At 35.4% G+C, this 12,551-nt stretch overlaps 1 protein-coding gene across 5 annotated transcripts in view; it reads left to right on the top strand.

Annotated features, from left to right (window-relative positions):
• TXNDC16 (thioredoxin domain containing 16) overlaps positions 1–12,551 on the top strand; it is a 121,910-nt gene that overhangs the window by 60,199 nt on the left and 49,160 nt on the right. For all 5 annotated transcript variants that reach the window (XR_007064038.1, XR_007064037.1, NM_001160047.2 and 2 more), the window contains exons 10-14: positions 1,302–1,468; positions 1,856–1,916; positions 3,821–3,944; positions 9,342–9,485; positions 10,018–10,077. Coding sequence is in view for 3 of the 5 variants with exons in the window: in NM_001160047.2 (NP_001153519.1) it covers positions 1,302–1,468; positions 1,856–1,916; positions 3,821–3,944; positions 9,342–9,485; positions 10,018–10,077 (556 nt within the window). In the remaining 2 variants the exon portion in view is untranslated. The remainder of the gene's footprint in view (positions 1–1,301; positions 1,469–1,855; positions 1,917–3,820; positions 3,945–9,341; positions 9,486–10,017; positions 10,078–12,551) is intronic.

Below are 12,551 nucleotides of genomic sequence, written 5' to 3'. Positions count from 1 at the left end.
TACTCAGTCCCCCAAAAAGGATACAAATTCCAATTGAGGACAAAGGCCTAGCTGCTGGCATTCTGGGAACTGAGTGGAAAGGGACCTGGGGTGAGGGGAACGTCTCAACATTTGGTTACTTAATACCCCTGATTTCGGCATGGTGTCCACACTGTCAACTGTTCCTAGATTTCTGCTGGTGTAGGGAAGTGACAGTTGTTTAAACTCATAGAGTTGGGGAGGGGAATCTAGGGATCTAACTACCTCTCAAAAGCTTTGACACATTCCTCCTTATTTTAGAGCCTTCCTGTCACTTCCCTTCCAACATTTCCTTCCCAGGTCCAGACATGCCTAACACTGACAGTTCCTGAGCAATTTTAGGATTCTGTAGTTAAAACTTAGTTTTCCCTCTAATGGCTTAGGCTTTTGCTTTGTAGGATCTCCTAAGTCAGTTATTATTCTGACTTCTAAAATTGTGCTATCTTTTCTCTTCCCTTCTTCACATCCATGTGTTTATCTCTTTTAAAAATCCTGCTGCTGTAGTTTTCCTGGGAGTTCTGGAGGGAGTGAAATTAGATGTGTGTATTTAATTTGCTACTTTAACTCAGATATTCCTCATTGTTTTGTAATGTGTCATTATATGTTAAATTCTTAATGAAAAAGTTTGTTCCTTAGTTATCTATTTCCCTTGAAATATTTTTCTATATCAATTAGTCCCACACTTATTTATTGTTTTTGTTTATTTATAATATGTTTATTCTTTATGATTGTAATTTTTGGTTTAACTTCTTATAAAATCTGTTAGTTTTATAATGCCTAAACTTATAGGGGGCCAGGCACGATGGCTCATGCCTGTAATCCCATCACTTTGGAAGGCCAAGGTGGGAGGATCACTTGAGCCCAGGAGTTCAAGACCAGCCTGGGCAACATAGGGAGACCTCGTCTCTACAAAAAATTTAAAAAAAAAAAAAAAAAAAAAAAAGCTAGGCATGGTGGTGTGCACCTGTGGTCTCAGCTACTCGGGAGGCTGAGGTGGGAGGATTGTTTGAGCCCAGAAGGCTAAGGCTACAATGAGCTGTGATTGTGCCATTCCACTCCAGCCTGATGAGCGAGCAAGATTCTGTCTCAAAAAACAAACAAACAAAACTATATAGGTGCATTGGGAGCATTAAATTCAGGGAATTAAGAGATCGTTTCTGTTAGTGTTGGATTATTTTACACTTTTTTTTACTCATGACTTTATTAATAAGAATTAGGAGAATTTAAATCCAAATGTTGGAATATTGTTATCACACCTTTTTTTTTTTTTTTTTTCAATGAAGACTGAAGTTGCTGAAGATCCTCAACAAGTTTCAACTGTCCATCTCCAACTGGGCTTACCACTGGTTTTTATTGTTAGCCAACAGGCTACTTATGAAGCTGATAGAAGAACTGCAGAATGGGTTGCTTGGCGTCTTCTGGGAAAAGCAGGAGTTCTACTCTTGTTAAGGTATCTTAAACATCGAATATTTACTATATTTAGCAAAACGCTAATAGTTTCCACGTTTTAAAATATGGTAATTTAATCACTTATAAGTAAACTCAAATCTCTAATAGATTCCAATATAGTTAGAACTAGTTGCTGAGCTAAAATCTGTACATTCATTTAAGGTTGATTAAAACTTAGAATTTTAAACCTTGCTAAATAAAGATGGAGATTAAGATGGAGACTAGAAAATCTGGTCTATGTTTACGTGTAAAATTTTTCAGTCACTAAATTGTAATATTTTTTCATAATTTTTAGTATAAGAATGTAGTTCTATTTTCTATTGAAGTCCTGGGTGACTATTATTCTTCAGATTAGCAACATAAAACATTTATTTCCATTTTGAAAAAGGGACTCTTTGGAAGTGAACATTCCTCAAGATGCTAATGTGGTCTTCAAAAGAGCAGAAGAGGTTAGTTGTTTTATGTATTGTTCTACAATATCTGTTTATTTAAAGAAAGCTAATATATGTGGTCTTTAATATATTTTTATTATAGAAAAATCTGTAAATTATAAATTGCTCCTATTCAAAGAAAATTGCTGTTAACGTTTTGATGTTTTTATCATGTGTCAGTCTGGTTTGTATCCTATGTTCACGTATGTATATGTATTTTTTTAAATAAAGCAAAATCAGAATTATGCTATATATTCTGCTTTTTGTTTAAAATAATATTGGGCTGGGCATGGTGGCTCGTGCCTGTAATCTAGCACTTTGGGAGGCTGAGGCAGGTGGATCGCTTGAGCCCAGGAGTGCAAGACCAGCCTAGGCAACATCGGGAGATCCCATCTCTACAAAAAATTGGCTGGGTGTGGTGGTGCATGCCTATAGTCCCAGTTACTCAGGAGGCTGAGGTGGGAGAATCACTTGAGCCCCAGAGGTTTGAGCTGCAGTGAGCCATGATTGTGCCACTGCACGTCCACCCTGGGTGACAGAGACAGACCCTGTCTCAAAAAAATAAACAAGATAAAACAGAATTCAAACCATAGCAGTGATGAAAGACAGAATAGTGATTACTTTTGGGGGATGTTAATGACAGGAAGAGCAAGAAGATGGCCACTGGTTGTGCTGATGATGTTCTGTATCTTAATCTGTATGGTGGTTATACAAGTGTGTCCACTTTGTAAAAATCCATCAAACTCTATACTTAAAATTTTTGTTCTTTTCTGTGTTAATGTTATACTTTAATTAAAAGGTTTACTACAAAAATTTCTGTGAATATTTGGAACAAATTAAGTTTGATTTTGATTCCTCTACTTTTTAAGTTTATTATATTTCTGTAGAAATTAAAATTGCTCGTTTCGAATATAATGTTAAAAAAATGAAGATATGTGATAGCAAAGAACAAACATACTTAGAGCTCATAGCTTTATTCCAATATAGAGTTACAGTCAAGAACACTTTGCTAAAATAATCTAGTGGCCTAAAATTTCATATTTTAAAAGTGTAACAGTTGGGCAATAGTGAAATAAATCTTAAGTAATATTTTTTAATATTAATTAATATCGATCTCAATAGAATTTGGTATTCTTAAAATAACTGGGAGCACATAGTAATTTAGTGTTGTTTATAGCTAAACAGGAAATTGAACTTATTAGTGGAATTAATTTAGATGAAGTATTGTTTTGAATATTTCTGTGGAATGTCAGAATAATCAATTTTGATTTACTCTATTTGCAGTAAAATTGTATATATTTCCATTTTATAAAGAGGTAGAACTTGGTATTACATGTGAAATGCTTTACAGACTTCAGTATAATGTGGTTGTGACAAGAAGCAAGTGAGGCTTTCAGCACCTTTTTTGCCACCTTTTTCAGTGTACACATTGTCTTTACAGAAGGTATGCTTTTCTTTTCACAGTAATTTTGGAGTTAATTTCCTTTTTCATTTTGCTAAATTTTAGAATTGAAGTTCAAAGGCTTAGTTTTATTTTAGTGTCAAACAAGTAAAACTTGTTTTTTTTTTTTTTTTTTCCCAGAGTCTCGCCTTGTCGCCCAGGCTGGAGTGTGGTGGTGCAATCTTGCCTCACTGCAACCTCTGCCTCCTGGGTTCAGACGATTCTCCTGTTTCAGCCTCCCAAGTAGCTGGGATTACAGGCGTGCGCCACCACGCCAGTCTAATTTTTGTATTTTTAGTAGAGACAGTTTCACCATGTTGGCCAGGCTGGTCTCGAACTACTGACCTCAGATGATCCGCCTGCCTCGACCTCCCAAAGTGCTGGGATTACAGGTGTGAGCCACCACACCTGGCCCAAGTAAAACATTTTTATGTCAAAATACTTTGCTATATTCATTTTTTAAAAATTAATGTATTTCTAGGGAGTTCCAGTGGAATTTTTGGTATTACATGATGTTGATTTAATAATATCTCATGTGGAAAATAATATGCACATTGAGGAAATACAAGAAGATGAAGACAATGACATGGAAGGTCCAGATATAGGTAATGTGTTATGATTCTCACCCCTTCCCCATCCTGCCCAGCACCCATAAAGTCAGTGAAATTTCCAATGGATTAACTTTCTCCAAGAATGTGTTCAGATTCAAGACTCTGTAAAGAAACCTGGCGGAATTTATTTGGAACCACATTTTATCAAGTTGATTTGTTGAAAAGATGTAAGGATGCTATATTTTGTTTAATGTATTAACATTTACTGTTACATATCAGGCTTCAAACTTCCCACATCTGTGCCTTCATCTTCCATATCAGTTCTTTCAGCCGTTCTGGACTAGTCCATGTTTAAAAACTCTACTTAGAAACTACAACATGATAATTCATTGTTACTATTTTTATTAGGAAATGGAGTTCTAATAAATATTGTTATATTTGTACTTGTAAATAAATCCAGTTGTTAATGGTATAAGAAGTAAATTTCAGTAACATTTTAACACTTCGTTTAAACAGTTATTTCAGTTTTTTAAAAATGTATTGCTTACATTTATGAAGTATTGTATAGTTTTTAACTCTTTTTCCCACATATTATTTACTTTGATTATTATTCTCTGAGTTAGCTGATACCACTTTCATTTTATACATGAAGAGTCTGCATTTCCTGAGTTCAGTGATCTGCCCAAAGTCCCACAAGTAGCAGGTGGTAGGGACTGGGCTAGAACTTAAGCATCCTGAAATAAAATCTTATTATTAGTGACAGTCAAGAATACTTCGCTAGAATAATCTAGTGGCCTAAAATTTGATATTTTTTAAGTGTAACAGTTGGGCAATAGTGAAATAATTATTTCTGATACATCTTTCATAACATTAATCCTCTTCTGTAATTATTCATTTGCTTTTTTCTCTTCTCTGCTAGTCTATAAATATTTCTAAATCAAGGATTATGTCTTGTTCATTTTTGTATAACATATATAGTAAATACTTGAATGTTTTATATAGTACCATTATGAGCTCCAAGAAGGAAGCAATTTACATATCATTTTCATGAGGTCCATGCATTGTGATCAAAATCTATATTATAAATTTAGTAAGAGCTTTCACTCTTACCAGTGACCAGTTTCTTGGTTTGAGCAGAGCTCTGGTTCTTTTCCGATATGCAGGGGTTAGAATTGCTTGTGTTCCTCTCTGGAGTTCTCAGTGGGCTTGTCATTACATAAGCAGACCTGTGTTCTGGTCTCTTGTTTCCTGCTTATTCCTGTAATGGTTCCTATATTTGAACCTTCAGAGTTAGAGGACTTGTCCCTAGTCTCAGTTTATTTGATTCCTGTCTTCAGTGGGAGTCGCCTGTTTGAAGATTTCTTTGTGGCCACAGCCTCTATATTGTTTCCTGACTCTGTGGCCTTACTTACCCTCTGATGCTGCCTTCTCTTTCTGGTTTTTATTTCCATTTTTTTAATTGACCAATAATAACTGTACCTATTTGTGGGGTACATAGTGATGTTTCAATACATACAATGTATGGTGATCAGGTCAGGGTATTGAGTGTATCCATCATTTCAAACATTTATCGTTTCTTTGTGTTGGAAACATTCAATAACCTCCAGCCTGTTTCTAGTATTTCTTTTGCAGCTTTGCCTTTTTTGTTTATTTTTCATCTTAACTTCCTATTATCAGTAATCCATACTGGCCCAGAATGTTGTATGGTGTTGTGCCTGTATCTAATTCTTCCCCCTCCCTCTGTATCACTCCCGTTTACAAAGGAAAACTAGATAAGGGTTAGGAAAGAATTTATTACCATCTGAGAATGTAAATCAGAGACAGGTGCACCCCAGAGAAAATCAGCAAAATGGAATCAGAATGAAAAAGACTAGATTCCACAGAAGGGCAATCTGAAAAAAGAAAAGAAGCATGTGTTCCAGCCTGGGCAACATGACAAAACCCCATCACTACAAAAAATACAAAAATTAGCCAAGATGGTGGTATGTGCCTGTAATCCCAGCTCCTTGGGAGGCTGAGGTGGGAGGATTACTTGAGCCCAGGAGCTGGAGGTTGCAGTGAGCTGAGATCTTGCCAGTGCACTCCTACCTGGGCAACAGAGTGAGACCCTGTCTCAAAAAAAAAAAAAAAAAAAAGCAGCATGTGTGACTGAAAATAGTGTGTATGTTATTAATGAATAGGTTGAAGGTAGAGCTGAGGAGTGACTAAATGTACAAGTGATGGTAGCTTATTTAGAATATAAGAAAAGAGGGAAAGGAGGAAAAAGAAACAGAAGACTGACAGGAAAATGAAAATATATGAATAATAAGAAAAAAATACAGTAAATAAGAAAATAGGTCTTTACTAAGTTTGGTATTGAGAATGTAATTTTTAGTGTCATGGAATTTGGTGCTTAAAAGTACCTTTAAGTTATATAGTGCAACTCTCATGCTTCACAAGAGTTGAACATTGAGGCCCAGAGAGTTATGTGATTGACTAGAGTCGTATAGAAAATGGCTGAGGTTGTAGTGAAATCCAGATCTAGAATTTTAATTTATTGTATGGTCATGTGTCTCCTAACGATGAGGATAGTTTCTGAGAAATGCATCATTAGGTGATTTCATTGAGCAAACATCATAAAGTTCACTTACACAAACCTACATGGTGTAGCCTATTACACACCTAGGGTGTATGATATATCCTATTGCTCCTAGGCCACAAACCTATACAGCATGTTACTGTACTGAATACTGTAGGTACCTATAACACAATGGTAGATATTTATGTATCTAAACGTGTAAACACAGAAGAGGTACAATAAAAACATGGTATAAAAGATAAAAAATGGTACACTTGTATAGGGTACATACCATGTATGGAGCTTGCAGGACCGGAAGTTGCTCTGGGTGAGTCAGTGAGTGAGTGTAAAGGCCTAGAACATTACATTATTGTAGATTTATAAATACTGTACACTTAGGCTGTACTAAATTTATAAATTTTTTTTCAATAATTTGTCTTAGCTTACTGTAACTTTTTCACTTTATACATTTTTACAATTTTTAAAAACATTTTGACTGTTTTGTGATAACATTAAACTTAAAGCACAAACACATCATACAGCTGTACAAAAATATTTTCTTTTTTTATATCCTTATGCTATAAGCTTTTTTCCATTTAAAACTTTTATGTTTTACGTTTTAAACTTTTCTCTAAAAACGAAAACACAAACACACACATTAGCCTAGGCTTGTACAGGATCAAGATCATCCATATTACTCTCTTCCACTTCCACATCTTGTCCCTTTGGAAGGTCTTCAGGGACAGTAACAAGCATGGAGCTGTCATTTCCTATGATAATAGTGCCTTCTTTTAGAACACCTCCTGAAGACCTACCTGAGGCTGTTTTACAGTGAACTTTTTATTTTATAAGTGAAAGGAGTACACTCTAATGATGAGTATAGTAAATATATAAACCAATAATCTAGTCCTTTATTATCATTATCAAGTATTATTTACTGTACATAATTATATGTGCTGTACTTTTTTCTTTTTTTTTGAGACAGAGTTTCACTTTTGTCGCCCAGGCTGGAGTGCAGCGGTGCAATCTCGGCTCACTGCAACCTCCACCTCCTGGGTTCAAGTGATTGTTCTGCCTCAGCCTCCCAAGTAGCTGGGATTACAAGCATGCGCCACCATGCCCTGCTAATTTTTTGTATTTTTAGTAGAGACGGGGTTTCACCATATTGGCCAGGCTGGCCTCGAACTCCTGACCTCAAGTGATCCGTCCACCTCGGCCCCCCAAAGTGCTGGGATTACAGGTGTGAGCCACTGTCCCTGGCCTTATGTGCTATATGACTCACAGTAGGTTTGTTTACACCAGCATCACCACAAACATGTGAGTAATGTGTTGTGCTACGATGTTACAATGGCCACTACATCACCAGATGATAGGAATTTCTCAGCTCTATTATAATCTTAAGGGACTACAGTTGTATATGTTGTCCATTGTTGACTGAAATATCATTATGTGGTACGTGACTGTATTAGAAATTATGTATAAAACAATACTTTAGTTCTATGAATGTATTGTCTTCTCTCTCCCTTCTTTCTTTTTAATGTGTTGTTACAGAGAATTACGAACATACGGAGAGAGAATAATAGAACAAATTCTTGTTATCCATTACTTGGCCCCAGCCATTATCAAACCATGGCTCATTCTGCTCCAATCACCCCCCCCCCTTATTGTTTTGTAGCAAATCCAAAACATGTAATTTCATCTATAAGTATTTCCCTGGGTTTCAGAAATATAAGGATTTTCCTTTTTAACATTAACATAATTAATACTATTATTACATCTAAAAAATTAACAATTCTTAATACCATCGTATATCCAGTCAGTGTTTGAACTTCTGATTGCACCATGCTCTTACATGCCACTGTGCCTTTGCTCATGCCATTCTCTTTGCTCTTTATGCCACCACTGCCTTTCTTCTCTGCCTACCTGAGTTTTATTTTCCTTTTCATGTTCATGTTTTCATGTTCATAAAGAAGCTTTATCCTTTAATCAAGTTATATGCTCCATCTGTCTTACCGTACAATCTCTACAAACTTCCAACAGAATATTTATGAATCCAAATGTATTTTTGAAGGTACATGGATGGTTGGATGGATGGATGGATGGATGAATCTATCAGTCTATTGATTGGTCTATCTAAAGGAAGGGTTTCACATATTCAGAATCCACTCATAACTTGAGGCTTTTTGGATAAAATCCAGACTTCTTGGCTCATGTGACCTCTTATGATCTAGCCACTGCCTAGCCTAGAGTTTTCTCATGCTGTTTATTCTTTCAGCCCCATCTTGTCTTAGTCAAATTTGCCTTCCCTCAGCCTTGTATGTGCTCAACTCTTTTATGTCTCAGAGCTTTCGTATATGTTATTGTCTTTGTCTAAAACATTCTTTTCTTGATTCTCTACCTGGCAGACTTTGGGCTTCCCAATCTAAATAGCCCTGTTATAATCTCTCAGTGTATCCTTTACCTTTCTTCATAAATTGATCATAATTTATAATTATATATTTATTCAGTGATCAGTTTATCTGACTTTTCCATAGATAGAAGTTCCATGTGGTCAGGACTATGTCTGTTTTGTTTACCAGTTTTCCTAGTGCCTGTCATAATGCTTGGCATATAGTAGAGGCAAAATAAACAAAATGGCACTATTAATATTCTTTGTAGAACAAATTTTAATTTTGAAATTGACTAAAACTTCCCAACTTCTAGGTCAGGAAGCATCTCAGAGTCAGTTAAGCAACTGCAAAGTTTTCTAAATATCATGCATCCTAACTATTAAGATAGGATGAATTCAAAAGTTTGTATAAAGTACTGAATTATTATATGCTTCCTATGAGAAGAGCTTAAATAGTTTTCATTATACATCAATATTTAAATTAATTTCTTTTCCAACATTTTAGATGTTCAGGATGATGAAGTGGCAGAAACTGTTTTCAGAGATAGGAAGAGAAAATTACCTTTGGAACTTACAGTGGAACTAACAGAAGAAACATTTAATGCAACAGTGATGGCTTCTGACAGCATAGTACTCTTCTATGCTGGTTGTGAGTATGAGCCTTTAGAGGACTGTTACATATTAGGACATTTAAAAACCCAGATTTAATTTTTGGCATTCCATGTATTGCATGTTGTAAAATGAAATTGCTTTCGTATGTCTCAAGTAGACTGTGTGCATTGAAGCATTTACTTCTGATTCTGGGATTGTGCAATTGATTTATATCTGATTTACAAATTAAAGGTGAATGATTAAACTAGATGTTCATTAATTTTGAAAAATTGTGACTCACGCTAATGATTTTTAACATATTAACAGTTATTATAGATTTATAGTAAGTATATTGCTTTTATCTTCAAATCATAGCCATTTAGCTATATTCCTTGCAGTACAAGTGCGGAAAATCAGTTGCATTTGAAACTCTCTTAAGTGGTTGGACTATGTTGAGAAATGTATAGTAGAATATTTCTGATTAACAATAATTTTGGGAAACCTCATAAATCTGTATATTTGTTACATATCAGTGTGGATGCTTTGTAGATATACATGTAATATCTGTTGAATTTTTAATTTTCATATAGGGCAAGCAGTATCCATGGCATTTTTGCAATCCTATATTGATGTGGCAGTTAAACTGAAAGGTAGTGTACTGTGCTATGCATGCTTATTATTCTGATTCTAAGCTGTAGCTATTTGTAAAACTATGTCATGCAAAAAATATAGAAAACCACATAAAATTTCAGTTACTATGTTTGTGTCTCCAGGGTTAAGTTAATGAACCAGGAGTTTCAAGAGTGCTTAGGAGCATTCACTTTGATTTGTCTTCATAGAACTGTCTTTAGTAGAAAGTAGAAAGCCTATGTATTTAGTACTTGTGGCTACACAGTTAATACAACAACCTTTTTGGTTTAAGTCAGTCATTCAGCAAGCATTTATGAGTGCCTACTCTGTGCCAGTTACTCCAGTTAAATACTGGAAATAAAAATTTGGCAGATTCAAGACCCAGTCTCATGGTCTAATGAGAGATCAAAAATCCCCGTGTCCTTGAAACTATATAGTTTACTCCTCATGGATGGAATGCTTTTTAATATCCAGGATCTTTTTATGTTAACCATCCTGTGAAACCTCATTTAATAGTGGGCAAATAAAGATCCAAGGAATGGACTTTAACTGAAAATATCTGTGCTACCATCTCAGCAAAGACATAGGGGAAAATGAGGGAGGCCTGTTAGTAAGAGAGGTAATAATGGATTAGGTGTGCTTGATGTAAGTTCCTTATGGTTAGGTAGTGTGCCTTATATCAGCTTACTGGGCTTGGCATATTGCCTTACATTGCAGAATATCTGGTTTTCAATAATTGTTGGATAAATGAATAATAGAGTTTCATAAATTTTGTTTCATTTAGTGGAAACTATGTACTGATGTACAACTTATTTATACATTGAAGCTTTTGAAAACTCAAGAAATTGATTCTAGACACTCAACCCTAAGTGTACCATTCCTTTTTTAAAATTTTTTTTTATTTCCATAGGTTACTGGGGAACAGGTGGTGTTTGGTTACATGAGTAAATTCTTTGGTGGTGATTTGTGAGATATTGGTGCACTCATCACCTGAGCAGTATATACTGTGCTGCACCCAATTTGTGGCCTTGTATTTCTTACCCTATTCCCACCCTTTCCCCTTGAGTCCCCACAGTCCATTTTGTCTTTCTTATGCCCTTGCATCCTCATAGCTTAGCTCCCAAATATGAGTGAGAACATGTGATGGTTGGTTTTTCATTCCTGAGTTAGAATAATAGTCTCCAGTCTCATCCTGGTCACTGCAAATGCCATTAATTCATTCCTTTTTGTGGCTGAGTAGTATTCCATTATATATATATATATATATATATATACATATATATATATACACACACACACACACACCACAGTGTCTTTGTCCACTCGTTGATTGATGAGCATTTGGGTTGGTTCCATGTTTTTGCAATTGCAAATTGTGCTGCTATAAACGTGTGCAAGTATCTTTTTCATATAGTGACTTATTTTCCTTTGGGTAACCAGTAGTGGGATTGCTGGATCAAGTTCCTTTTAGTTCTTTAAGGAATCTCCACACTGTTTTCCACAGTGGTTGTACTAGTTTACATTCCCACCAGCAGAGTAGAAGAGTTCCCTGTTCACCACATCCACGCCAACATCTATTATTTTTTTATTTTTTTGATTATGGCCATTCTTGCAGGAGTAAGGTGATATCTCATTGTGTTTTTGAATTGCATTTCCCTGATCATTGGTGTTGTTGAGCATTTTTTCATGTTTATTAGCCATTTGTATATCTTCTTTTGTAATTGTCTCTATTCATGTCCTTAGCCCACTTTTTGATGGGATTGTTTGTTTTTTTCTTGCTGATTTGTTTGAGTTCATTGTAGATTCTGGATATTAGTTTTTTGCCAGACGTATAGATTGTGAAGATTTTCTCCCATTCTGTGAGTTGTCTGTTTACTCTGCTGGACTGTTCCTTTTGCTGTGCAAGAGCTCTTTAGTTTAATTAAGTCTCAGCTATTTATCTTTGTTTTTATTGTGTTTGCTTTTGGGTCCTTGGTCATGAAATTCTTGCCTAAGCCAATGTCTAGAAGCGTTTTTCCAATGTTGTCTTCTTTTTATTATAGAATTTTTATAGTTTCAGGTCTTAGATTTAAGTCTTTGCTCCATCTTGAGTTGATTTTGTATAAGGTGAGAGATGAGGATCCAGTTTCATTCTCCTACATGTGGCTTGCCAATTATCTCAGCACCATTTGTTGAATAGGTCTTTCCCCACTTTATATTTTTGTTTGCTTTGTTGAAGATCAGTTGGCTGTAAGTATTAGGGTTTATTTCTGAGTTCTCTATTCTGTTCCATTGGTCTATGTGCCAATTTTTATGCCAGTACCACACTGTTTTGGTGACTCTGGCCTTATAGTTTCAAATAGGTAATGTGATGCCTCCAGATGTGTTCTTTTTGCTCAGTCTTACTTTGGGTATGTGGGCTCTTTTTTGGTTCCATGTGAATTTTAGGATTGTTTTTTCTAGTTCTGTGAAGAATGATGGTGGTATTTTGATGGGAATTGTGTTGAATTTGTAG

This window comes from Homo sapiens, chromosome 14 (genome assembly GCF_000001405.40).
Source record: "Homo sapiens chromosome 14, GRCh38.p14 Primary Assembly".
In the NCBI taxonomy this organism is placed as follows: domain Eukaryota; kingdom Metazoa; phylum Chordata; class Mammalia; order Primates; family Hominidae; genus Homo; species Homo sapiens.
This window is presented reverse-complemented; position numbering and strand designations above follow the sequence as displayed.